This window comes from Homo sapiens, chromosome 15 (genome assembly GCF_000001405.40).
Source record: "Homo sapiens chromosome 15, GRCh38.p14 Primary Assembly".
In the NCBI taxonomy this organism is placed as follows: domain Eukaryota; kingdom Metazoa; phylum Chordata; class Mammalia; order Primates; family Hominidae; genus Homo; species Homo sapiens.
Window position 1 is genome coordinate 78324910 of NC_000015.10, and position 27958 is coordinate 78352867.

Consider the following 27958-nt stretch of genomic DNA (forward strand, 5'->3'; position numbering starts at 1 on the left):
ACAGAGCGTGACTACCCTGGGAAGATGGGGACCAACTTTCCCAGTTTCTCATTTTACCACTGAAAAGTCCCATGTCCTGGGAACACTTCTCAGTCCCAGGCAAACTGGGACAGTTGGTCACCCTAACTCAGAGACACACAGCCACACAGATAGCACCAACACCCAGGGGTCTGCGCACACAATGTTATCAGCACAAATGCGGTCACCATCATAGGCCAGGATAACCCTCTTCATCACTCACAGCCCAGGCGGGGGCACACTCTTCATGTATCCAAGGCCTTAGACACCTGGAGAGACACACCGAGGAACACACAGAACAGAGGCATAGACACAAGGCAGGCAGACACACCCACTGCATTCCATCCCAGAGCCCAAGCTCTCACACACACACACACACACACAAGCCCAGACACAGACACACAAAGGCTGCCACACACATCCACAGAGCAAAAAAACGCCAAAATTCAAACCACTAAAACAAACAAAAGGCAAACCAATTTTAGAAAGGGTAAAAGCAGCCTTTTGAATCAGTGGGCTCACGGGATATGGTCTTGTTTAGATGTTAAAGATCTAAACAAGATGTTAAAGTGGAGGAATGGGAGTGAGCAGACTATGGCAAGGGCACAGGGTACACTGGCAGGGGTCCCATGGCTGGGATGTCTGCTAGCAAGGGCACATTCTCCAGCTTGACTCTGCTGGTTAATGTCACTATTCACAGCCATGTCTGCAGGGGAATGTCCTGAACAACTCACTCCCATGAAGCTGAAAACACCTTCCATTTCACAGGGCCATGGAGGGGGCTGAGTGAGTAAAATGTGGGAAGCACCAGGCATGATGCCAGGCACACAGGACATTATGCTCAAGGCGCCGGAGCTATTAAGACATAGGTCTACAACCCCTTTTCTGAAATTCTGAACATTCTGAAAACAAAACATTTCTTCCTATTGGGGGCAAAACCAGAGCAGAACTGACATGAGGCCATTTCTTTATTATACAATTTCACATGAAGATTCACATGTTTTTCTGAGATAATAGTAAGGTGTTTAATTATGGAGTATCACATTAGTTTTGAAAATCTGCAAACCAGGCTGGGTGCAGTGGCTCATGCCTGTAATCCCAGCACTTTGGGAGGCTTAGGCAGGTGAATCACTTGAGGTCAGGAGTTCAAGACCAGCCCGGCCAACATAGCAAAACCCTGTCTCTGCCAAAAATGCAAAAGTTAGCCAGGCATGGTGGTGTGCACCTATGGTCCTAGCTACTTGGGAGGCTGAGGTGGGAGGATCACTTGAACCCAAGAGGCGCAATTTGCAGTGAGCTTAGATGGTGCCACCGCACTTCAGCCTGGGTGACAGAGCTAAACTCTGTCTCAAAAAACAAAACAAAACAAAACAAACAAAAAACAAAAACAAAGAAAAGAAAATCTGCAAACCCAGAATTCTGAAACACATCTGGCCCCAAAGGATTCGAATTAGGAACTGTGGACCTGTGAGTACGTGGACACATTTGCATTCAGGTAGATAGTATGCAGTTGCGTGTGCATGCATGGACGGTATAACATAGGCATCACCCTCCACAGTACACAAAGCAAGAACATCTGTCCAACCTAGGCATGGCCCTTAACAGTATACTTCAACATACATTATTTCATGTTATCCTTCCAGGTTTGTAGTAGGCCAGTAGGTGTTAATATTTCCTCCAATTCAGGCCAGGCATGGTGGGTAACACCTGTAATTTCAGCACTTTGGGAGGCCAAGGCGAGAGGATCACTTGACGTTAGGGGTTCAAGACCAGCCTGGCCAACATGGTGAAACCCTGTTTCTACTAAAAATACAAAAATTAGCCAGGCATGGTGGTGTGCGCCTGGAGTCCCAGCTACTCGGGAGGCTGAGGTGGGAGAATCGCTTGAATCCAGGAGATGGGGGTTGTAAGTGAGCTGAGATTGCACCACTGCACTCCAGCCTGGGCAACAGAGTGAGACCCTGTCTCAAAAAAATTTTTTTTTGCCTGGGCGCGGTGGCTCATGCCTGTAATCCCAGCACTTTAGGAGCTGAGGCGGGCAAGATTACGAGGTCAGGAGATCGAGACCATCCTGGCTAACATGGTGAAACCTGTCTCTACTAAAAATACAAAAAATTAGCCGGGCATGGTGGCGGGCACCTGTAGTCCCAGCTACTCGGGAGGCTGAGGCAGGAGAATGGTGTGAACCCGGGAGGCAGAGCTTGTAGTGAGCTGAGATTGCGCCACTGCACTCCAGCCTGGGCAACAGACCGAGACTTTGACTCAAAAAAAAAAAAAAAAAAAAAAAAAATTCCCCCAAGTCATAGATGTGGAACCAAGGCTCAGAGAAGTTGAGTGTCTGGTCCAAGGTCACACAACTAGTTAATGTGGAGCTGGTCCCAAACCTTAGTCCCCGGGACTCCAGGGGCATCCTCTCCCTTACATCCCCTTACTCTATACTCTCTCAACTACTTAGTGAAAAAGATGGAAGTAAATAGAAAGCAACTTCAACCTCAAGTCCAACATTTGAGCCCTAAAAGCACCAGCTAATCATCAGTGACTAATGACCCCAGCACAGGGGGAGGGTTATTACATCTGGGAGCAGGGTCCTACCTCTGTTTCCTCTGCCAGTCCCTTCCTGGTTCCCAAGAAGGAATAGTTTCCCTTCAGCCTTCATTAGAACCATCTGGGTCTCAGAGTCAGCTGCAGCCTGTCTGCCTTTTCTAAAGTTCATCCGAATTGGGTACATCCTGAATTTCACAATAGGGACTCAAAGTCAGCCCAGGGCTTTCAAGCCATGACTCTTTTAATGACACATGAGGACACATGCTCCAAGGGACAGACTATACCACTGACTTTGATCAACAAAGTGCTCCAAAGTGGGACTCAAACACCCACTCACAAGTCCCAGCTCTGCCAAGAAGAACCATGGGACCTTGGGTAAGTCACTTAACATCTTTGGGCATTGGGTACAATTTCAAGTACCTCCCAGAACCTACAGAACACTTAAGAACTTAAATACTACTAAGGACTAGAAGCATTCTTAATCATCCACACAGGGCTCTGACCATGGTTTTCACTGGTCAGGGTCATCTGTACAGGCCCTTCCCCAGACAGCCTGAGTTATTTGGGTGGTGGGGGGTGGATGTGGGCAGTTCTTTCTGGACCCATAGCTCTAGTTTTGCTATTTGCTATAAAGGTTTTCTGGTGGGAAGGGGAGTTGGTGTAAATACCCACAGTAGACCAGCAGTCCCCAAATGTGGTTGTGCATTACAATCACCTGGGAAGCTTTTCGAACTGTGATGTCCAAGCTCCACCCTAGAATAATCACATCATCGTCTCTGAAGGTACCCAGGCATTAGCATCACTAGAATCCCCAGGTGCTTCCAGTGTGCAGCGACGTTTAAGATCCAGTGCATCTCAAACTTGAATGTAGTATGAATCACCTGGGGACCTTGTTAGAATGCAGATTCTGATTCAGCAAGTCAGCTTGGGGCCTGGGGTTCTGCATTTTAACAAGCTCCCAGGTGATTCTGATGCTGCTGGTCCACAGACCATAGGGCCCAGACAATCAGGAAGTCTGTTCCAGCTCAGACCCTCCACAGAGCTTACTCCCTCCCAAGGACTGACTGGTACTCCCAGGTTCAAACCTCCCCAACAAGATGAAGGGCCAGCTGCCAGCTCCCAACCAGGCTCACATGGGTTCTTCTGTTCCTCCTGCAGCTGGAGTGAACCAGGTTATGCTGGGGCTAGTCACAGAGCCCCTCACAGTAGGACAGACAGGCAGAGTGAAATGGCAGAGGCTCTACCTCCATGGCCCAAGGGGGAAGCAGGGCACAGGCAAGGGTGGTAAATGGGGCAGGGGCAAGGGGAACTTGGAGGAGGGGTAGGGAAGAAGCCTAGAGGAGGGCACCCTCAATTGGCATTTCCTCCTGGCTTGCCAGGGATTGCATATTGGTTTGCTATCAAATCACCACAACCTGGGCGGCTTAAACAATAGAAAATTATTGTCTCACAGTTCTGGAGGCCAGAAGTTCAAAGTCAAGGTGTCAGCAGGATTGATTCCTTCTGAGGGCTGTGAGGGAAGGCTCTTGTTCCAGGCCTCTCTCCTTGGCTTGCAGATGGCCGTGTTCTCCCTGCCTCTTTTCACATCATCTTTCTTCCAAGTGTCTCTGGGACCAGATTTCCCCTTATAAGGACAGCAATCATATTGGATTAGAGTCTATCTACCCTGACGACCTCATTTTGATTTGATTACCTCTATAGAGACCCTATCTCAAATAAGGTCCCAGTCTGAGGTACTGGGGATTAGGAGTCCAACATGTGAATTTGCAGGGGGAAACCATCCAATTCATAACAGATTGTGATATAGGAGGTCAGCCCCAAGTTAGCAGATCATTTGTTTTTCAAGAGAAGCCAGAAATCTGGATTGACACGAAATCTGATTTTTGACATTGGTGGGGTGTATCGTTTTAGAGAAACACTGTGGACCTCACAAAACTCTTTTGCACTCAACGTCTGCACCTGGGCTGCTCACCTTTCCTGCCTTGCAGCAGTAATGCCCTGTGACAGGCTGCAGCACCCTCTGGCAGGTGTGGCAGTCTCCCTGGCTTCCTCCTTGCTGCCCTTACAGGTCAGTTCCCAGCTCCCCGCTTGCCCCACTGCACCCTAGGATCCAGGCTCCCTCCATCTCTTGCACTTCCCTGCCTTTCCCACTGCCAGGTCTATGCTCTTGCTGTTTCCTCTGTCCGAAGCACTTGCCTGGCAAACTCTAAATCTTTGAGCTTTAGCTCTAAAGCACTTGCCTGGCAAACTCTAAATCTTTGAGCTTTAGCTCAAGGGCCACCCCTTCTCTGGGTGGAAGGCCACCCCTTCCTGGACTGCCCCTGGCATAGTCATTCCTTCCTTCCTGCTCTTAAGCATCTCAGATTACTCCTTCATCGTTGTGCCTGCCACAGGGTGATGATGTGGCACTGTGGACGTTCGAACCAGCCTCACTTATCAGCTTCTAGGAGGCTCAGACTCTCAACTGAGACAATCATGGATTCAAATCCTGGCTCTGACTATTACTTCTCTGTGACCTTGGGTAGGTCAGTTCACCTCTGACCCTCATTTTCTAAGTCTATAAAATGGATATAATAACAAAACCCATAGAGTTATTTGATTACAGGGCCTGGAACGTAGTAAGTGCTCAATAAATGTTTGATGAATGAGTGTAACAGTCACTTAAAGGAGAAGCCAGAGTTCCCATTTAAGGGTAGGTGGGCAGGCCAGGACTGAGTTGAGCCTAGATTCTAAAAAACAGCTGTTTGGTCTTTTGTTTTCACATCTATTAATTCATTTTACCTTTTGAAGCAGGCATGGTTGGTATTTTCACTTCCATTTTATTAATACACAGGAAGAAACCGAGGTTCACAGTAGTTGTGACCTGCTCCAAGTTGTACAGCCACTCAGTGGCAATCCAGGACTACAGCCCAGGTGGACAGAGCAATAGATCTGCCACAAGCCTTTCTCCTGGCCCTGCTTTTAAGCAGAGTTGTTCTCATTAGCCTTCAGGTGGTCAGACGTCCCAGGCCCTGGTAAGCCCAGGCACCCCTTCTCTGGGCCTCCAGGTCCCCTTCTGTACAATAAACGAACAGCATAAATCTGGGGCCAGCCTACCTGGGCCCACCTCCCAGCTCTGACTCCCATTAGCTGAGTGAGCTTGGCATGGTACCTCACGCCTTGTGCTTCAGTCTCCTCATCTAGAAATGAGTACCCACTTCACAGGACAGTGGTAAGGAATAAATGAATGAATACTCATGGAGCACTTGCCACAGTGCCTGGCACATAGTGAAAGCTCGATAAATGCTAGCTATTTGTTTTTATTCTACTAAGAGACTCCATGATCCACAGGACTCCTTCAATCCTGGTGCTGTCTCCCTCTGACTCCCAGTCCAGTGCTCCTTCCACTCCATTAACCTAAAAGAAACCCACCTGGCTCACGCCTGTAATCCCTGCACTTTGGGAGGCCAAGGCGGGCGGATCACGAGGTCAGGGGATCGAGACCATCCTGGCTAACATGGTGAAACCCCATCTCTACTAAAAATACAAAAAATTAGCCAGGCGCGGTGGCGGGCACCTGTAGATCCAGCTACTCGGGAGGCTGAGGCAGGAGAATGGCATGAACCCAGGAGGCGGAGCTTGCAGTGAGCCGAGATCACGCCACTGCACTCCAGCCTGGGTGACAGACCGAGACTCTGACTCAAAAAAAAAAAAAAAAAAAAAAAAAAAGAAACCTACCAAGCAGGGCAAGTGTGCAGCCCAAATGCCATTCTTCCCCAGGAGCCCTGCTATGCTTTGTCCTGTTTTGCTGACTCCCAGATTGTCCTGGGCATGGTGGCCCCAGCCCCCACTACAAACAGCTGCCCTGAAGACCCCCACTGGGACCCTCTTCAGAGCCCCCAGCTTTCGGGGACTGAACTCTGACCCCCATTCTTCCAGCATGAATTCAGGCTGCCTAAGGGCGTGGGGCCCCGGGCCAGCGGGCCCCTGGGGGCTGAGGCTCTGGCGTGCCTCTAGGCAAAAGTAGCTACACTCAGCAGAAATGTCCCAGGCAGGGATGCAGGTCAGTGGCCTGGGAGGGGCTGGCAACATGGGGTCTGCAAAGGCGGGAGCCAGACTCTAGGCTGCCAGCCAGAGAACAAAGGGGTCTTGGAGAGAGGGCCCAGGCCTGAGCAATCCACATCAGGAGAGGAAATACCAGGAACTGGCCACACACCATAGGCAACTGCAGCCAGCTGAGAAGACCCTTTTGGGTGGGTGCTGGGGGAGAGGAAGGAGTGGTCCAGACTGAGGTCCCTGGATTCCAAGGTGAGGTTACCTGATTGCCAAGGAAGTCCCTTCTCCAGAAGGCTCCTTACAGACTGTCCCTCACTGGAGCTGCAAGAGGCCTCAGAGCCCTGCTCAGCTTCCCTTCTGAGCCCCCGCTGTTTCCTCTGCTCAGAATGCCCTTTCCCCTTTGTCTGCCTGTTAAATTCTTGTTCATCCTTCAGGGCCCTGCTTAGGCTTAATGTCATATTCTCTGGGAAGTCCAAACTTGCCAGGGTTAGATGCCCTCTCCTGAGTTCCCCAAATGCTTCCACTTTCCCCCTTCGTGGCAACTACCACATTGTCCCAGACTTTATCTTGGTGCATCTCTCTTCCCTACCGGCCTGTGAGTTCCCATTCTTGGGCCATGTCCTTTCTCCTCTAAACCCCATGCCTGACACATAGCATTCCCTCCAAACATGGTGAGTGGGTGAGTAAGTGCATCTACTCACAGATCTTCATTCCAAGAAGTCTTGCCAGGTGCAGTGGCTCACACCTGTAATCCCAGCACTTTGGGAGGCCGAGGCGGGTGGATCACCTGAGGTCAGGAGTTTGAGACCAGCCTGGCCAAATGGTGAAACCCTGTCTCTACTAAAAATACAAAATTAGCTGGGTGTGGTGGCACGCGCCTGTAGTCCCAGCTACTTGGGAGGCTGAGGCAGGAGAATCGCTTGAACCCTGGAGGCAGAGGTTACAGTGAGCTGAGATCGCACCATTGCACTCCAGCCTGGGTGACAAGAGTGAAAGTCCATCTCAAAAAAAAAAAAAGTCTTTTCTGCCTCCTGAGTTCAAACGATTCTCGTGCCTCCCGACTAGCTGGGACTACAGGCTTAAGCCACCACACCCAACTAATTTTTGTATTTTTTTTTTTGAGACAGAGTCTCGCTCTGTCACCCAGGCTGGAGTACAGTGGAGCGATCTCAGCTCACTGCAAGCTCCGCCTCGTGGGTTCACTGCAAGCTCTGCCTCGTGGGTTCACTGCAAGCTCTGCCTCGCAGGTTCACGCCATTCTCCTGCCTCAGCCTCCGGAGTAGCTGGGACTATAGGCACCCGCCACCACACCTGGCTAAATTTTGTATTTTTAGTAGAGACTGGGTTTCGCCATGTTGGCCAGGTTGGTCTCAAACCCCTGGCCTCAAGTTCCAGAGATTCAAAGATCAGCTTTTCCAGCCAAAACAATAAGGGGATCCTGAATGTAAGCACATGTGTGCCTGAGCATGCACCATACACACAAAACACCCTGCAATGTGCTAGAATCCCACAGTCATGGAATTAACTGACAGTTGTGCAGCTGTGTTCAGCCAATAAGTCACCTTTGCCTACTGGCCAGTGCCAGTCAAGTCTCCTTGGGCTGAGCAGTAAGGGCCCAAAGTCTGATCCCTGTCCTTAGCTGTCCAGGCAGGCACTGCCAAGCTCCCAGACCATGTACCACAGAATTCCATTTGGCACTCCACGCTCTTGTCCCCAGTCCTCCCACTCTGCTATCAGTGCTCTACTCTGAAGCCCAGGTATTTCCAAATTCAAATGTCATGGTGATTCACATTACCCTATACCTTCATTCCATGGGTTCTTTCTCTAGGGTTCCTATACTGTGGCAAACTGACTCCCTCATCCTCGAGGCCTTCCAGAACACTCCCTCCTGTTGCTTCACTGAAGTTCATGCTCTGAACGCTTCCATCTGTTTGTCCCCATGAGCCTCAAAGCTATTATATCCAAGCTGGCAGTCAGCATCCTCCTTACAAAATTGTCTACCACCATCTGGGTTGGTCTCACTTTCCATGTCAAATCCAAGCTAGAAACTCAGCACCTATCTCTCCTTATCCTTCACTTCCAACCTCTAATCTGTCCTACTTGTCCTACTTTAAATATTTCTAGAAATAAATATTTTACTTTCTAAATATTTCTCAGATCTTGTACCTCCTCAAGCTTTAACCTACTATATTTCTTGCCTGGACCACTGCAGTAGACTCCTCATTCCTTTCCATGTAACAGCTCTCACTCTCCTTCAATCCATCCTCCATGCAGGCCACCAGCAAGATCTGTCTAAGATGCAATCTGACCAAGGCATTTTCTCCTTAAAAACCTTCCATGGCTCCCATTACCTTTTTTTCTGGTTTTTTTTTTTTTTTTTTTTTGAGACAGAGTCTCACTCTATTATGCAGGCTGGAGTGCAGTGGTGCAATCTCAGCTCACCAGAAACTGTGCCTCCTGAGTTCAAGCGATTCTCCTGCCTCAACCTCCCGAGTAGCTGAGACTACAGGCATGCACCACCACACCTGGCTAATTTTTGTGTTTTTAGTATAAATGGGGTTTCGCCATGTTGGCCAGGCTGGTCTCAAACCCCTGGCCTCAGGTGATCTGCCCACCCTGTCCTCCCAGTGTTGGGATTACAGGCATGAGCCACTGTGCCTGGCAGCTCCCATTATCTTTTATCGGAGTTGATTGAAGTGGGTTCTATGAAACACCAGTCCTACAAGATTCTCCAGATTTAAGACTCAATATGTTTAGGAAATGGTGCACACCAATGGCCCTCTTCAAGACTAATAATGTACACTCACATCTTAAAGACGGCTTTATCGTTTTCCTAAATTGCAGTATCTTAATCTCTGACCATGCCCACCTTCCTGCCCCAGCGCACCAATCGTTCGCCCTCACAGGACTTCCAGGCCTTTGAGTTCCTCCATTTTCTCCCTGCCTAGCAAGCCCTGTCATGGCTCAACTTCCATCCCTCTTCTGCCCAGAACTCCTGTCCTACACCTCAACCCCTTCCGTCATCACTCTCAGTTGCTCTGCTCTTCTCTGTCTCTGCTTCAGTTCACATGCCCACTATTCCATCACCTATATGTTGGAGTCCCAGATCTGCTGGAGAAAAGCACATTCCACTGTGAAATCTGGAGCCAGCCCCTGTCCTGCTCTCCAACCTTCCTGGAGCCGTTCCTGGTGAGGCAGGTGGGAGCATCATTTCTGTGCACCCTGAGTCACCTTTCCTATTTTTAGAAGGGGCTCTTCCAAGCTTTCTCCAAGAGCCCCATCTTGCAACTTTTCCCTCCTTCTTTGCAGAAGACCCCTCTCTTACCTAACAGAGAAAGGTAAGGACACAGACGGGAACACCTTAACTTCTGGTTCCTTTACCTGGAAGGCAGACACCTCCACTTGCACTCTGGGTCTCCTCCTCTCCCATCTCTACCACTTGTGTCCATCTTCTATTTCTCCTGCACCTTCTGTCTTTTCTTTAGTCTCTGCCTTCACCTTGTACATATGTTCAAATCCCTCCCATCTGAAATGCAAACAACAAAACTCTGAATAGTCCTTTGGTGCTACCTCCTCTCATAACTTTCAATTCATCTCTCCCCTCCCCTACAGTCATGCTTTTCAAAAGAGTTGTCTACATTTTCTGATTCCAATTTCACGCTTTCCTTTCCAAACTCAACCTGTTGATCCTGCCTTCAGACCCCACCACCTCCTAAAACTGCTCTGACTGCAGTCACGAAGACCGTCCTGCTGCTCATCCAGAGGACACGTGGTGGCCCTTGCCTCCATGAACCTCTTTGGAGCAGTTGTTACTGTTGGTCCATCCCTCCTTTTTTTTTTTTTAGATGGAGTCTCATTCTGTCATCCAGGCTGGAGTGCAGTTGTGCAATCTTGGCTCACTGCAACCTCCACCCACTAGGCTTAAGTGATTCTCCTCCCTCAGCCTCCCAAGTAGCTGGGATTACAGGTGCCTGCCACCACACCTGGCTATTTTTGTATTTTTAGTAGAGATGGGGTTGCACCATGTTGGCCAGGCTGGTCTTGAACTCCTGAACTCAGGTGATCGACCCACCTCGGCCTTCCAAACTGCTGGGATTACATGCATGAGCCACTGCACCCAGCCAATCCCTCCTTTTAAAAAATGCTGGGCTCCTTGACTGGGAGGACATCACCCTCTGGTTTTCTTCCTTCTCCCCTCCTGCTTCCTTCAGCACTCACCTGCTCCATCTGACCCCTAAACGCTGAGATTCTCCAAGCTCTACCCTTTGCCTTTTGCTCTTCTCTTTCTGTGTCCTGTCTCTGCGCATCTCATCCACACTCATGTCTTCAACTGCTTGCTGGAAACAGGTGACCCCCATCCCTGTCTTCAGCTAAGACCTCTCTCTCGAACTCCAAAACCACACTTCCCACTGGATCCTGGATACTCAGACAACTCAAACCCAGCGCTTCCCAGATAAAACTCATCTGCCATCCATGTCTTACCTATAGCAGCAAATGAGACCACCAAGCACACCACCCAGGAATCTAGGAGTCATTCTGGCCTCTTGCTCCCACTTCCCTCACCCCTACCAGTCATGACATATTGTAAAGTCAATCTGGCTGTGCAAGGAGAATCACTTGGAAAACTTGCCGAACACAGTTTCCTGGGCCCTATCCACGACTTACAGGATCCAAATCTCCTGGGCTGGGGCCAAGGAATCTGAATTTCTAGAAAGCTCCCCAGGCTGCTGTAATGCCTGACTCAAATCACAGACTAGCCTTAGGGAACCACTGTGGTCTAACCCACTGCCGACATCACCGCTGGTTGCCTAGTTCAGGGCAAAATCCTCCTCCCTGCATCCCTGGTAATATACTTGTCTCCTCTCATTCATTCTCCACGCTGTGGTGGTGGCAACTTTCCAAATATGCAGTAGGACCATGGCTCATCTCTGCTTAAATCCTTCTATGTGGCCACCTGGGAACGCTGCATTCATGACCCTTTGTCCTTAGGAGAGTGCCTTCAGCTCATCTCTTGTCTTACCTCCTACCTTGCTCCCTTCAAGGTATGCACTCCAGCCAGGCCAAAAGATATGTGGTTCCCAAACACATAACCCTGTCCCTGCACGTGTTGTTCTTCTGACTGTACTCCCTCACTCTCACAGCCCCTCTGGATCCACTCCTAAGGTTCAACCCAGGCTGGGCTCAGTACCTGCCCCTCAGGCACTATTAGCCCGTGTGGTGATCACAGAGTTTCTAGGTTATTTCCTCCTGTGTAAACAGTGAACCTTCAAGACAGGACCTGGATCTTGAGTGGTCACTATCCTCAGAGGTGCACCCAGTTCCTGGCTCACAGAGATGGTCAGCAAAGGTTAGCGAATGGAAGGGTAAAAGAAGAGAAGGAGAGAAGACAGGGAGGTCAGAGCATTTCAGGTGGTTCTGCCCATCTGTTTGAAGACCCGGGCCAAGAGCCGGGTCTCTGCCCAGCAGGGGGCCTGCTCTGGATCCACAGAAACACCACGATGGTGGTGGCTTTCTTTGTTTGTTTATTTGTTGGTTTGTTTGTTTCTTTTTGAGACGGAATCTCACTCTGTTGCCCAGGCTGGAGTGCAGTGGTGCGATCTCTGCTCACTACAACCTGGGACTCCTGGGTTCAAGTGATCCTCCTCACTCAGCTTCCTGAGTAGCTGGGACTACAGGGGCGCACCACCATGTTCGACTAATTTTGTATTTTTAGTAGAGATGGGTTTTCACCATGTTGGCCAGGCTGATCTCGAACTCCTGACCTCAGGTGATTCGCCTGCCTCAGCCTCCCTAAGTGCTGGGATTACAGGTGTGAGCCACCGTGCCCAGCCATGGTGGTGGTGTTTTTGTGGCCCTCTTGACTCTGGGGTTTCCCCAGTAGCCAGGAAGGTGATAGCAGCCTGCCCTCCCATTTCCATGTGCCACCTGATGAGATTTGGGTCTTCTGAGAAGTCCTGGCCCCTCCTGTCTGCTCTGGTCACCTCTAAACTTCCATTAACAAGGACAGCAGGCTGGGTGCTCATGCCTGTAATCCTAGCACTTTGGGAGGCTGAGGTGGACAAACTGGTTGAGCTCAGGAGTTCGAGACCATCCTGGGCAACATGGCAAACCCCTGTCTCTACTAAAAATACAAAAATTAGCCAGGCACGGTGGTGCATGCCTGTAATCCCAGCTACTTGGGAGGCTGAGGCAGGAGGATTGCTTGAGCCCGGGAGGCAAGGTTACAGTGACCCAAGATGGCACCAGGGCACTCCAGCACTGGCGACAGAGCCAGACCCTGTCTTAAAAACAAGGAGAGTGGGCTCACAAGGACTCTGGGATCATCTTCCACTCTATGGCTGAACTGGCTGTGCCCTCCTCACTCCTGGACCCTGCTCCCGCCCTTGTTTTGTGCCTGCAGAACGACACCACTGTCCTGTCCCAGTATGGCCAACTTTTGGAGTGGACACCTTCATCTGGCCCCTCTTGCCCCATTCTCTCTCTGACTCCCTCCCTCACCTTCTTCTTTCCCTCTTCCCTCTTTGTCCATCCAATGCCTTTGCTGCAAGAGCTCTCTGTCACCTTTGTGCCTCATCCACGGCCCTCTGACTATCCTCACAAGGTCTCTCTGGGCTGTAAACTAGGATGCTGCTCCAACATTGCTGCCCTCCTCCAGCCTCCTGCCCCAGTCCCTCCCCAGCCCTGCCCTTTAGATGGCTGAAGCCTTCTTAGGGAAGAGTGTTGGATGGGGGCAGAGGCCTGCATTAGCTGGATGGCACTCCTGTTTTGCCCCTTCACTGGAGAGGCACTCAACCCTCTGTGAAGTGGGTTTGATTCTATGGCAGCTCCATCCCTTGCCTCCCACATCCAGGACCTGCTACTTAATTTGCAGATCCCAGTGCAAAATAAAAATTCAGGACTCCTTGTTCAAAAAGTATTATGGGGCCAGGCACGGTGGCTCATGCCTGTAATCCCAGCACTTTGGGAGGCCGAGGAGGGCGGATCACGAGGTCAGGAGATCGAGACTATCCTGGCTAACACAGTGAAACCCTGTCTCTACTAAAAATACAAAAAATTAGCTGGGCATAGTAGCACACACCTGTAGTCCCAGCTACTTGGGAGGCTGAGCCAGGAGAATCATTTAAACCCAGGAGGCAGAGGTTGCAGTGAGCCAAGATTGCGCCACTGCACTCCAGCTCGGGCAACAGAGCGAGACTCTGTCTCAAAACAAACAAACAAACAAAAAGTATTCTGACGTTCAAGCTGGCAATAGCAGAGCATTCCTGCTTTTCCATTTTCCAATCTAACTATCAGGCCCTTCTAAGTGCATGGCCCTGTGTGACTGCACAGACGGCACGTCCAGAATGCCGGCCCTGCCCATGCCCCTTTCCAGCTGGTGATGGCCCCACTCCCCTCTCCTGTCCTCAGCTGCTTTCTTAGACAGATCCTCGGAGCCTCCTGGCAGCAACCCAGCCCCAGCCACCTCCAGAAGTTTCCAGGGCCCTGTTCAGTAGGCACTCAGCACAGATTCCCCAAGGTCCTGGGGGAATCTTCACCCCAGGCCACCACTCACATCCTCCTCAAATCAATGCACAGTTATCGAGCCCCACCTGGCTAAGCCTTAGGAAGGGAGGACAAGTGGATAAACGATCACTGCCCTCCAGGAGTTCAGTTTATAGCAGAGCGAAGACTTGAACAAGAGCAGGACCGGACAAGAATCCTGTCAATTCAGAGAAAAATAATCACAGTTTATTAGGAAACTGAATTTCACAAAAGAGAGAGCATAAAGATGGGCTTTCGTGAATGGGCAAGATTTGATTAACCCGATGAGGAAAGGGGCATTCAAGGAAGAAGCCATGGCATGGGCAAAAACTTAGAGATAATAAAATGCATGGCACGTTCTAGAATCCTGAATTGTACAGTTTGGCTGAGGTGTGCAGATGGTAAAATAGTGGGAAAAAGCTGGAAGGAAAATGTACAGAGAAGAGCTACAAGGGTAATAGTGAAGTGTTTGTACTCCCTTAGTGGAAACACCGAGGGGACTTTAGGTCGTGATGTTTAGGTTATTTGGGAGCAAAGGGAGAAGACTTCCTCCCCTTGGCCCTCACAGCCTGCCCGAAGAGTGCAAAGCCTCACGCTTTTGCAAAACAGGCCGCACCTAGCCCAGATTCTGGAGCTGATTCAGTCCATGCCTCTCGACCCACAGTTTGTCCTGAGCCCTGACAAAGGTCTGGCCCCCTCCTGCACTCGGAACGCGGAGGACCCGCAGCTCGTGGATTCGCGCCTCAGTGCCCAAGCTGGTGTTGATGGGGGTTGCGGTTTCCTGCCACTCACTCCCCATGGGTCCTGTGGGGGGCGTGGGGATGCGGGGAGAGGGTTTCAGAATAGGATCCCGGACTGGGAGGGAAGGGACACCATCTGGGCACACCCAGTAGGTACGACCGGAGGTGAAAAAAGAGTGGGTCCCATCCCCTGATGGCCCCGCTCGCTATCCACTTTAAGTTTATGTTATGGATATTTTCAAACATATTCAAAAGTAGAGAGAAAAGTAGAATCATAACCCAAGTCCACACCGCCCAGCTTCAACAGTTATCCCCTCCAAGCCCATCTTGTTTCAGCTAACCCTCTCCCACCACCCATTTTAAAGCGGGATGTGGGTGTCCTGAGGGAGGTGGAGGCTCCCCAGTTGGAGAGCGGGTGCCCGCACCTCTGGAGGCTGAGGCACAACTGGGCTGGGAGTTGAGCGCATACCGAGTAGGGGCTGCGGGGGAGCGGGGGCAGGGCCGGCGGGGCGGGGCCAGAAGCCCGGCGGGGTTGGGGGCGCTCTCCTAGTGACTCAAGGCGCGCAGCGCTGGGCGCAAAGCGCCAGTCTCCGCCTTGCGAGCTCAGAGTGTGCCCGCTGCGCCGCCGCTGTCCGTACCTGCCGCCGCCGCCACCGCCACCATGCCCAACTTCGCCGGCACCTGGAAGATGCGCAGCAGCGAGAATTTCGACGAGCTGCTCAAGGCACTGGGTAAGCTGGTGCAGAGGGCGCGCCCCGACGGGGAGATGCGGCCCGGAGGTGCCCTGGTCCCGGAAGTGCCCCGGTCCTGGAGGGGGTGGAAGTTGGGGAGCCCAGGCAGGAGGGAGTCCCCGGGGCAATAGATCGCCTTGTCTCCCAGGCGCACCGGGTCTCGGAGAAGCTGGTAGAGATCCCGGAACCCACGCGTTCAGCGAACGTTTGCTGAATGTTTGGCGCCCTCCTCGATGGTGCGGACTTTATCTCGTGCTAGATCATAGCGAGGAGAGATTACTGGAGAGCAAGGAGGATCAGGGACTTAAATTTGGAGACTCAAATTTGGGACCAGGCTCTGCCACGAATTCACTGTGCAACTCGAGGAAAGTCACTTACCCTCTCTGTGCCTCAGTCTCTCATCTCGAAAACAAGGGCGAGGGCAGGGAAACGAGTGGATCAATTTTAAGGCCCCTTTCTAAAGTTAGGGTATGACCAGTGCCCGACCGGTCCCGAGACTGGCGGCGAGGCCCCGTGACCCAAGCCTGTGGTGCACCCTGCGCAGGTGTGAACGCCATGCTGAGGAAAGTGGCCGTAGCGGCTGCGTCCAAGCCGCACGTGGAGATCCGCCAGGACGGGGATCAGTTCTACATCAAGACATCCACCACGGTGCGCACCACTGAGATCAACTTCAAGGTCGGAGAAGGCTTTGAGGAGGAGACCGTGGACGGACGCAAGTGCAGGGTGAGGCCCCAGAGCCACTACAGCGTCCCCGTGTCCCCGCTCGGTGCCCATGGCCCACTGCTGCTGGAGGAACCTGTGTCTCCCTTTGCAGCCTGTGGCGCGCCTTCCTTGCAGGGTGTGTACACTGGCTGTTTGCAGAGGGGGTTTGTGCATCCTAGTTGCCCCTGGCTCAAGACAAAGTATTACCTTCATTCCATCTCAACCCCATCCCTACGCTGCCTCCCGGGGTGCTAACAGCCGCGCTTAAAGAGCGGGCTCTGGGTTGCGCCGCGTTCCCAGCAGTGGCTTTTGCAGCGGTTTGCAGCGCCAAGCGCAGGCGGCGCAGGAGGAGGAGGAGGTTGCAGGAGCCGCCAGGTTCTCTGTCGCAGGTGAAGCCGCAGCTCTTGCATTCCTTTCCCGCCGTATCCCCCGCGCCCGCCCGGGTCCCTGGGCCGCCTGGGTACGCTCTGGATACAGTTTTAGCAGTCCCGATGGCCCCGTCACCTCTCCCTTCCCGCCTTCGGCCTGGTTCCTTAAAGGAACGGCGGAGTCTTTCCAAAAGCAAGGCAGGTTCTGGCTGGGAAAATGGACTAGTTGCCCTCTCTTAGTCCTCAAGGGCAAGAGTTTTTTTTTATTTCTCCATGCATCGGCCCAGGGATGAACCGGTGGATTGAAGCAAGGGGTTGTACATTCGTTTTTTGCATGGGCAAAAATTGCATTTGGTTAACCAGATGGAAAAATAATCACCGGTGCTACCACTTATTTAAAAAGTGACAGAATGTCTCCCTCCCCTTCTCCAATTTTTTTTTTTTAAAGAAAAAAGTCGTAACATTCCAGAGAGTGGGAAATTGTTTCTTTCACCTTTCCTGAGCAGTGCCTGGTCTGATCTCGGAATGGGACTCTCTGAGCACCGGGCTTGGAAGGACAAAGAAACAAAGCCCCCCAGAAGCAGGCTGATCTAGGAGGCAATCTTTGGCTCCAGAATTGTCATAGCCTGGAAATGATCTCCACGCTTGGAGGGGGTGGGATCTGAAGCCTAAACTGCACTGCAGAAACAAAGAGCAGGACAGCATAGAGTGAAGGGCTGGGAGTCTAAGAGAGGAGGCTTGGCAATAGGCAGGGCTCAGTCTGGGGACATCCAATGTTGGCTACTGCCAGGAAGGGTAATTCTGATTTAAAAAAAAAAAATTAAAGGTTCACACAACAGCCGGGAGAGTGGGGCTTTATGCACCCCCCATCCCCCCACACCTTGCCTAATGAATGTGTCCCATGTGTTAGTTAAAAACTGATTATGTGCACATTCAGCTCTGGCCCACCCCCCAGCCCAGCTGTACCACACTTAGCTTTGTGCAGACACTGGGGAAAAACTTCAGGAAATCCCTCCTTTTGCCTCCCACCTCCAAAAGCATGAAGAGCCTTCAGATTGATTTGCTTTTTAAATTTTTTCTAAAGGGATGTAACCGGGAAAGTGGCAGCATTTTAACCCTCAGAGCCAAAGACACCGAGGTTTATCAGTGCAGGGGTGCACTAAATCTGATGAGGAGTGAACAGAAAGGACGTTCCTATCCCAAAATCCATGCAGGGAATCGTGCTCCTGATAGGCTGATGACAGATGTGGTTACAAACTTGGTGTCTTAACTGTTGTCAAATCTTGTGGTTCTGATGTGAAGGTTCTTGCTTTTAAAATCCAAATTATGTTCACCTGAGGTCAGGAGTTCGAGACCAGCCTGGTGAAACCCCATCTGTACTAAATATACCAAAAAAATTAGCTGGGCGTGGTGGCAGGCACCTGTCATCCCAGCTACTCAGGAGGCTGAGACAGGAGAATTGCTTGAACCTGGGAGGTGGAGGTTGTAAGGAGCCAAGATTGTGCCACTGCACTCCAGCCTGGGCAACAGAGCGAGACTCCATCTCAAAAAAAAAATGAATAAAAATAAATAAAATCCAAATTGTTTGAAGGGTTAGCTAATTTTTATATAAATGAATCATTTCATGCTCTAAATTTTATTCCTAGAGATGTAAAGCATGCCTAAGGCCTCGCTGCTTCAGTAAGAGATTGTTTGTGTGTGCTTGTGAGTGTGTGTGTGTGTTATACAAGGTGTATTTATACCCCATAAAATCTGTGACCAGCACTCTGAATTTGGACTTTATAAGGCTCAGCGGAGAAGAATCTGTGGCCTGCTGACAGGGACCATGTGTTGATTCTCTGCAGAGCAATTATTTTTCAATGCTCATTGTTGTCCCTGCTCCCGCTGCTGAGACTCTAATTAATGTCACTAATGGTTTTCCCGCCTGCAGAGTTTAGCCACTTGGGAGAATGAGAACAAGATCCACTGCACGCAAACTCTTCTTGAAGGGGACGGCCCCAAAACCTACTGGACCCGTGAGCTGGCCAACGATGAACTTATCCTGGTAGGGAACCCTTGACCCTGAAATAATCCTGAAGTTCCCCCAGAGGGGGCCCCAGATGGGCCCCACAAATATGTCCTCCTCACTCGGCCGTTCAGAGAAAGACACCATTTGCCCTGGATTAAAATTAGAGCAGAAAACCCGAGATGACAGTTCAGGTCAGAGGAAATCATTGTTAAATGGTTGGCAGGAAAGAGGAGTGGCTCAGAGGATGGAATAGGGGCTGGAGACAGGCTGGAGTGCCTGCCACTATCCACACTAATACATCCCAGTGGCGGTGACATGCTTTAAGCCAAGCTCCCCTCTCATCAGGCTTGGAATGCTTAGGCTCTATGAGGTCCCCACGCTCACATGGCAGAAGGGATTTTTTTTCATTCTCATTCCCCCTTTTGCTGGCTGGAAAAGGTTTCAGTAATTTTTATCACATCAGCACTCAGAACCTTAGAGAACATTTTTAGCTGTGATTTGCAAACTCCAATGGCCTTTGGGAGCCAGGCAATGAATGCTAATTTGGGAAGTGTCTGAGTATAACACAGTGTGGAGAGATGAGCCCCTGTAGAACTAAAAAAGATAGGCTTTTCCTTAAAAGTATTCAGATCCCAGCATTCTGGGGGGCCAAAGCGGGTGGATCACCTGAGGTTGCAAGTTTGAGACCAGCCTGATCAATATGGAGAAACCCCGTCTCTACTAAAAATACAAAATTAGCCGGGCGTGGTGGCATATGCCTGTAATCCCAGCTACTCGGGAAGCTGAGGCAGGAGATTCACTTGAACCCAGGAGGCGGAGGTTGCAGTGAGCTGAGATGGCACCACTGCACTCCAGCCTGGGCGACAGAGACTCTGTCTCTAAAAAAAAAAAAGTATTCAGACGAAAACATTTTAAACACCTGCTCCTAGCCAAACAAAACTTACCTAGTGAGGCCAAATTAGAAACCTCTATAATTTAAGCACACACTTCCTCCCCTTTTTTTAGGTAGAGAACAAAGGAAGGCTGAGGGCAGAACAATCCCCCTCGCTCTCCCTTTGTGTTACAAAACTGGGCTGGGATTGGTGGCTCACACCTGTAATCCCAGCACTTTGGGAGGCTGAGCCCAGGAGTTTGAGAACAGCCTGGGCAACATAGTGAGACCCCTATCTCTACAAAAAAAAAAAAAAAAAATTAGCTGAGTGTGGTGGCACATGCTTGTAGTCTCAGCTACTCGGAGGCTGAAGTGGGAGGATCACTTGAGCCCAGGAGTTTGAGGCTGCAGTGAACTGTGATCATGCCACTGCACTCTAGCCTGGGCAACAGAGCTGAGACCCTGTCTCAAAATTAAAAACAAAAAAAAAAACAAAAAAACTAATTAAGGGTTTTGCAACCACCCTTTTCTTCCAGACCAGAAAAGGGAAAGCTGTTTTGGGTAACCAGGAAATTATATCCTTTGTTCTCCATTAGGTATTTTGTTAATCTCTGCTCCATCTTAGTGAATGTCACCTTGAAATGTTGTGAATAGGAGACTGCCTGCTGAAGGGTGCTAGGAAAGGACTTGCAGTGTGACCTGAGCATAGGCCTTCCCTTCCCAAGCTCTTCCCCTTGCTATACAATGAGGGGTTAAGCTGAAGTCTGATCCCTGAGGTCCCTCTCAGCCTTGAAATTACATGTTTATTCTGCAAGAAGACCCTAAATTGAGCTATTACTTGAAATGAGACTGCTTGATCTTTCTCTCTCTCCTCTTGTCCTTCCCTGGTATGATTTAACATGCTTTCTCCTTTCACAGAGAAAGGACTGGCTTAATTTGCAACCTGGTTAATATTGTTTCCAGGGAAAGGATACTTGCTGGGCTTGGGGGAGCAATTTGAGGCTGAGACATGGAAATTTAGGAGAAAAGGCGTATATGGTTTACTGGTACCAGAGACAGCAGAGGGAGATGATTTTAGAGTTTTAGAATGTAGCTGAGGGTTCAGTAGGATCGGTTTGCTCTGAGAAAGAGTGATTTTATTAACCTCTGTAGTATACGAGCAGCTGGAGTCACAGGCCAAATTCTGCTAGATGGACCCCATCACTTTCAAATCCTCCCTCCTCCCAACTTCAGTTCTATCCCTGCATTCTTCCCTGGCACAGCAAACATATATACAAGACTCAAAGGGAAAGGGAGTATTAACTCTTGGCATTTTGGATCTGAAATGTGGGCTTTTGTTTCAAGGGTTATTATCATTAATAAATCTAAAACGCAGAGAGATGCAGTCTCTATATAACAAGAGGCAATTATTCTAGTTAAGTTGAAATAAGCTCTCCCAGCGCCAACAGTAAATTGCCCCCAGGCTATAAGTTGCCTTCCTTTGAAAACTGAGTATACTCCCACAAACCACTCTGGAATATTCTACAGAGAGTTTCTGTCGGGAACCTCTAAGCATAGTTTGCAGGCTGAGAAGGGCGCTTCAAATGTGGTTGGAAATGCGGCGATTTCTTCTCATGTCATGAAGCTATTTGTTAGCTGGGGAGAGCTGTCAGCTAGTGAGAATAGTTTCTCCAGGGTACAGCGTTCAATACCCAAATGCTGGCAGCCATTTGACAATCCATGGCTGTAGAACTCAAAGAATTATGGAAAATTAACATGGTTCTGAGGCGTCCAGACATCTGCGAGGTAGACTTACGGTGGGAAAGTCAAGCCCCACACCCCCTAGCATGCAGAATCACCTGCATTTCTTCCCAATAGAGAAGAGGCTAGGACAAAGGTGTCCAGGAGTGGGTATAACTGCCAGTCTGGTCAGGAGATCCCTAGCATGAAAAGCTAGTGGCTGGGTGCAGTGGCTCACGCTTGTAATCCCAACACTTTGGGAGGCTGAGGCAGGTGGATCACTTGAAGTCAGGAGTTCGAGACCAGCCTGGCCAACAAGGTAAAACCCCATCTCTACTAAAAATACCCAAAAATTAGCTGGGCATGGTGGTGTATGCCTGTAATCCCAGCTACTTGGGAGGCTGAGGCAGGAGAATCACTTGAACCTGGGAGGCAGAGGTTGCAGTGAGCTGACATCACACCATTGCACTCCAGCCTGGGTGACAGAGTAAGGCCGTCTCAAAAAGAAAAGAAGCTAGTGATGGGCATCTGCTTCCTCAGTCACTAAGGACTTGAACTATTTCCCTGAAGCACACGTGTCAGGATAATGTTTTAGCATATGTTCTCTGAGAGCATCTCGTGACCAACTAAGATGGCAGGGTAAGAATATAAAGATCCTAGGATAGCTAAATGCCTCGTTTAGTGGTTTTAACATCTCTGTAATTTCAGGCCACTTTAAGAATCTGAAAGATAAGGACCTTCTGGCACATAAATGTACATTTGCAAACAAACATACTCACATCAGGTTTACAGACTGGGGAATTTCTGTTTCTTGGTTTTTGTTTTTGTTTTTTTTTTTTTTAACATACATATTGCTTTCCCTGTTCTAACTGCCTGTGAGAGGTCCAGGAGAGCAGGCCTGTGAGTAATTGCTAGTTTTGGGGGAAAGTTGAGACAGTTTACTTGTGGGCAATATCATTTCAGGGGCCAGCAGAAAAATGTCCTCCTCCATCTGTGCAATGATTCGTGTCCTCCCTACAGCAAACAAACTAAGAGCCATAGAATTTTAGCTGGAAGAGCCTTTGCGATGATCATCTTGTCAACTCCACCCCTCTCCTCAACACCAGCCCCTGCCTGCCCCTTTCCCAAACAGGCCACGAGAGGAAAACATTTGCCCCCAAGCTTAGCCAGCTGTGAGCTGCAGGGGCTAGGTTTGGATGCCAATGCTGTGCTTTTGCAGCTGAGACCAATTTTCTAGCTTGCAGGTGACTTGAGTATTACATATACAGCATCTCAGCCTGTCTCCCAGGTTAGATGACTGCTTCCTGGAAAGCAGTTCTATTCCTTCTCCAAAGCAAGGAACAGAACTGGCTGGTGAGTGCTGGGCCTCATGACCCCAGCTGCCTGAGCTTCTTTCTATCTTGAAGTCATTTGAAAAGAGACAGAGCCACTTCAGAAATGTCCATTGTGACATTCTTTCCCTTTCAGTTTAATTTTAAAACCAAAACTCCTGGCATTTCTTATGTCAGCATTTTACAGGTTCCATAAGCAAAGGAAAATGGTATATAACATAATTCTATACTCTGGTTACCTCTTTACCAATAGCGCTTAAGGGGGAAAAAATATCCCTTAATGCTTAGCCTGAGCACACACACAGGAAATTGAATGTCTGTTACAAAGAGTTTTTAACAGGGCAATAAGTGGCCTTATTAGTGATATGCTTTAAACATTTTTGCACAGGCATCTGCACTGATTGGTTTTCCTTTTCTTCTTCTCTGCAGACGTTTGGCGCCGATGACGTGGTCTGCACCAGAATTTATGTCCGAGAGTGAAGGCAGCTGGCTTGCTCCTACTTTCAGGAAGGGATGCAGGCTCCCCTGAGGAATATGTCATAGTTCTGAGCTGCCAGTGGACCGCCCTTTTCCCCTACCAATATTAGGTGATCCCGTTTTCCCCATGACAATGTTGTAGTGTCCCCCACCCCCACCCCCCAGGCCTTGGTGCCTCTTGTATCCCTAGTGCTCCATAGTTTGGCATTTGCACGGTTTCGAAGTCATTAAACTGGTTAGACGTGTCTCAACCTTTTCCCTTTTTTGGTTTGCCTCTTCAGTTTCAACGTGGGAGTTATTGTGTACCTACTGTCCTTAGCACTGTGTTGGTCTGTGCGGTACTCTCAGCTTTGGCCTGCTGGCCTCGGTGTGGGGCTTTGAGCATACGTCAGCAGTTGCAAGCTGGGCTCCCGCAGACTGGCTGGATCCAGACTGCAGATCCAGGTGTGATTGCACCTCCCAGTGTGGCTGTTCAATTGAATTACTTGGTATCAGTAGTTCCCAGCAGGAAACGGCACATTTAAAAGGGGTTAACAGGGAAGAGCTCATAATGAAGGGACTGTTTATACTGGCAGGATGAATAGAGCCAGCAAAGGATGGGGAGGCACCCAAAGACAAGCAGTGGAGGGATTCACCCCCAGGCCTGAAGATAGAAGGGAAAGAGGGGTCACCAGACCATGAGAGCTATAACCTAGGAGAGGAGCCACTGCCAAAACCATGGCCCCAGTGTTTATGGGGTCAGGGGAGACTTGGCTTGGAACAAGGGGGATAAACATCCTAATCTCCCACCTTTCAGTCTCTACCTATTTTGTCCATTGGCCAAATCCAATAGGAATGGAGAGGGCAGGGAAGAGGGTGCTGTTTACAAGGGTCACCCTCCCAGGATGTGGCCAGGGGGAGAATGGATCTGAACATGCGCATGGACAACAACCCACACAGTTGCTGACTTTTAAACTTGAAAATCAGTAGATTTCACATAATCTGAATCTCTATTTCCTTAAATGAAAAACTGGGAAAATCTGGCATCCCCAGACCTACATTCCCACAGGGTAACAACTGGCCAGGAAGCTTCCCGCTTTTTAAATGGAACTCATACCCTCTGCTTCCCCTTAGACCCCATCCTGGCCCCAGCTTCATTTACATTGCCTGCCTGGCTTCTGTCCTTGCCATCCTAAGTGCCAAGACCAGCTTGGTTGGGGAGACCCTCACCCAGCAGTGCTAGAGGAATTAAGACACATACACAGAAATATAGAGGTGTGAAGTGGGAAATCAGGGGTCTCACAGCCTTCAGAGCTGAGAACCCCGAACAGAGATTTACCCACATATCTATTAATAGCAAGCCAGTCATTAGCATTGTTTCTATAGATATTAAATTAACTAAAAGTATCCCTTATGGGAAACGAAGGGATGGGCCGAATTAAAGGAATAGATTGGGCTAGTTAACTGCAGCAGGAGCATGTCCTTAAGGCACAGATCGCTCACCCTATTGTTTGTGGCTTAAGAATGCCTTTAAGCGATTTTCCGCCCTGGGCGGGCCACGTGTTCCTTGCCTTATTCCCATAAACCCACAACCTTACAGCATGGGCATTATGGCCATCATGAACATGTCACAGTGCTGCAGAGATTTTGTTTATGGCCAGTTTTGGGGCCAGTTTATGGCCAGATTTTGGGAGGCCTGTTCCCAACACCAAGCATGCAGATTCTCAGCAAAGCTGGGTCAGAGTGGGCCATCCAACAGTGTATGGGCAAGAGTGAGGCCAGGAGACCCTCAAAGAGCTTACACTCTGGCAGGGCAGACACCCAAGGCCCAGGTGCTATCACCTGAGTGTGAATGGGGACACAGTTTACCTGAGGCGTCACCCTTCCCCCCTCCCCCAGCCCAGAACCCTAGGCCGAAAGGATGAAAACACACACAGGATGAAAACCTACACAAATCTACATTTGCTTATGGAGGACCTCAGCCCTCCACTCAAACTCTACCTACCTACATGTGGAACTCACAGGGGACAAATCTATTGCAGAATAGAACACATCTCACATCCTGAGCCTGCTTGTTGGGGCTCTATGCACTGCCTCTGCTGTGATGCCCCCCCATGAAAGTGCCAGTGGCTCTGCCAACAGACTGCTTCCCACGGTCCCAAAGCCACCAGGCCCCGATGCATCAGAATGGGGCTGGATTCTGGGTCAGAGTCAGGAGAAAACCTGACACTGGGCTATCCTTTGTCCTCAGGTCCCTGAGGCACCTTGGATTGTGTCCAGAACCTCTCAGAGTCCCTTATGAAAACAGCTTCTTCAACTTCTAGCTCTAACCCACTGCCTCTGGGGCCAGTGAATGCAAGCACCATGCCATTCCCTCCTCTATGCTTGCTTCTCCTCTCTGGGGCTGCACTGCTCACCAGAAACAGCCAAGTCCACTCTCAGTACCCTACAAAACACAGAGTTCCTTGTGGCAGAGAGTGGCGTGCCGGAGGAGTTGCCCCACAGCTTCTTAGAGGAAGGGGCTGGCCCAGGGCCTCTAAGGATAGGGAGGACATGGATTAGTATGCAGTGGAGAGAAATGCAACTGGAAGGCCCATCTGAGTGTGAATGTGCTAATTTAATTTCTAATTCAATTAGAAACTGTGGGGACATGACCGGGCATGGTGGCTCACACCTATAATCCCAGCACTTTGGGAGGCCAAGGTGGGTGGGTCACCTGAGGTCAGGAGTTCGAGACCAGCCTGGCCAACATAGCGAAATCCCACCTCTACTAAAAGTACAAAAATTAACAGGATGTGGTGGCGGGCGCCTGTAATCCCAGCTACTCAGGAGGCTGAGGCAGGAGAATCACTTGAACTCAGGAGGTAGAGGTTTCAGTGAGCCAAGATCGCGCCCTTGCACTCCAGCCTGGGCAACAAGAGTGGAACTCCATCTCAAAAAAAAAAAAGAAAGAAAGAAAGTGTCCTGAGCTGGCCACACAGGGCAAGGCAAGTAGTCATGCTGGATGGATGAAGCTGGGATATCTGGACTCTGCCCGTAGGTATTGGGTACTCATTGCCACTGTGGATGGATTGGGTGAGGCCTCAGACATCTCGGTCTGCACCCTTTCCCAGTTCCCACTGCTTCATTGCCTTCTCCATATCTAGATTTGCTCCATAAAAGCACTGCCCTGCCATTCCACGATGGTTCTATATAAAAGACCTTGTCCGATTGAAGGGAGGATGAAGGCCTTTCTTTCCCTCACGAGTTTTCTTCAGATCAGCTTTCACAAAGGTTGAGGAACAGAGCAGAGTAAAGGAGGCTACCAGCTGTAACTCTCATCCTGCCTGACAGCCAACAGGCATGGGTGGGGGTATCTGGATGACTAGATGAAGTCACAGCAAGTGCCAGTAGTTCACTTAGACTCAGAACTCCGGCTGCATCCTGGTTCTCTTGAATCTTGTTCCTTCTGCATTTTCCAGATAAAAGGCACAGTATTTCTCATTACCTCATGGAACACCTCCAATGAGACCGCAGTGTTCCGTGGAACCCAGTTTGAGAACTGCTGCTATAATCATCAGCCCTAAGACATTTGTGTGTATACACATTGCATATGATATGTAATATATACACACACATAGGTTGAAACCTACACTGTCATCAGGATACTCTCACTAAAACACTGCTGTAAACTTGTCACTCCCCTGCTCAGTAGTCCCCACAGCCTATAGCAGGAAAGTCAAACCCTTTGGCCTGGCATTCAAAGCCCTCCATGATTTGGCCTCGCCAGGTAAAACAGAAAGAACAAGGGCTTTGGTGCCTGTCAGATCTAGCGTCAAATCCTGACCACACTTTTAGTTTGCAAGTGCTAGAAACCCAACCACAACCAGTCCCAGCAAAAAGAAATGTACTCTGTTACAACATGGATGAACCGTGGAAACATTATGTCAAGTGAAAGAAGCCAGCCACAAAGGACTGCCTGTTGTATTATTTGATTTATATGCAATCTCTAGAATAGGTAAATTCATAGAGACAGAAAGTAGACTGGTGGTTGTCTAAGGCTGGGGGTTTTGAGGGGAAATGGGGAATGATTGGATGCACAGTTTATTTTTAGGGTGATGAGAATGTTTTAAGATCGACGTGGTAATGGTTGCACAACCCTATGAATACAATAAAAGCCATGGAATTGTATACTTTCAATGGGTGAATTGTAGGCTATGTGAATTATATCTCAGTAAAACTGGCCGGGTGTGGCGACCCACTCCTATAATCCCAGCACTTTGGGAGACCAAGGTAGGACAATTGCTTGAAGCCAGGAGTTTGAGATGGGAAACATAGTGAGACCCCCCCAATCTCTACAAAAAATACAAAAATTTGGGCAGATGCGGTGGCTCACACCTGTAATCCCAGCACTTTGGGAGGCTGAGGTGCGCAGATCACTTGATGTCAGGAGTGTAAGACTAGCCTGGCCGGCATGGTGGAATCCCGTCTCTATAAAAAATACAAAAATTAGCCAGGCGTGGTGGTGCATGCCTGTAACCCCAGCTACTCGGGAGGCTCAGGCAGGAGAATCGTTTGAACCCAGGAGGTGGAGGTTGCAGTGAGTGAGACTCCGTATCAAACAAAAGCAAAAATTAGCCAGGCATCTACAGTCCTGGCTACTTGGGAGGCTGAGGCAGGAGAATCACTTGAGCCTAGGGAGAGGCTGCAGTGAGCTATGATCACACCACTGCGCTCCAGCCTGGGTGATGCAGTAAGACCTTGTAAGAACAAAAAAGAAACTAAAAAGAAAGAAAGAAAAGTAGCGATTTTTTTTTTAAAGAAATGTATTGGGCCAGGCCCAGTGGCTGACGCCTGTAATCCCAGGTCTTTGGGAGGCATAGGCGGGCAGATCACTTAAGTCCAAGAGTTGGGAGATCAGCCTGGCCAACATGG

General features: G+C 49.8%; 1 protein-coding gene across 1 annotated transcript, besides 2 other annotated features; it reads left to right on the forward strand.

Moving 5' to 3' along the window:
* Window positions 6744–7558: an enhancer, noted in NCBI's record as "H3K27ac-H3K4me1 hESC enhancer chr15:78623995-78624809 (GRCh37/hg19 assembly coordinates)". NCBI's record gives its function as "activates a minimal SCP1, AML or CMV promoter by ChIP-STARR-seq in naive H9 embryonic stem cells {active_cell/tissue: H9 hESC(naive)}" and the evidence as "EXISTENCE:reporter gene assay evidence [ECO:0000049][PMID:30033119]".
* Window positions 14994–15622: an enhancer, noted in NCBI's record as "H3K4me1 hESC enhancer chr15:78632245-78632873 (GRCh37/hg19 assembly coordinates)". NCBI's record gives its function as "activates a minimal SCP1, AML or CMV promoter by ChIP-STARR-seq in naive H9 embryonic stem cells {active_cell/tissue: H9 hESC(naive)}" and the evidence as "EXISTENCE:reporter gene assay evidence [ECO:0000049][PMID:30033119]".
* CRABP1 (cellular retinoic acid binding protein 1) lies at window positions 15444–23316 on the forward strand. Its single transcript, NM_004378.3, has 4 exons — window positions 15444–15589; window positions 16134–16312; window positions 18590–18703; window positions 23018–23316. The coding sequence occupies exons 1-4, from the start codon at window positions 15520–15522 to the stop codon at window positions 23066–23068; spliced, it is 414 nt and encodes a 137-aa protein (NP_004369.1). The 5' UTR covers window positions 15444–15519; the 3' UTR covers window positions 23069–23316.
* Window positions 23317–27958: the final 4642 nt, after the last annotated feature.

What these genes read in the sequence shown, in the direction of transcription:
- CRABP1 (NM_004378.3), top strand. Translation starts at nt 15,520, where the DNA reads ATGCCCAACTTCGCCGGCACCTGGAAGATGCGCAGCAGCGAGAATTTC. An exon ending in CGAGCTGCTCAAGGCACTGG is followed by an intron (nt 15,590 to 16,133) that starts GTAAGCTGGTGC and finishes CACCCTGCGCAG; the next exon opens with GTGTGAACGCCATGCTGAGG. An exon ending in CCAACGATGAACTTATCCTG is followed by an intron (nt 18,704 to 23,017) that starts GTAGGGAACCCT and finishes TCTTCTCTGCAG; the next exon opens with ACGTTTGGCGCCGATGACGT.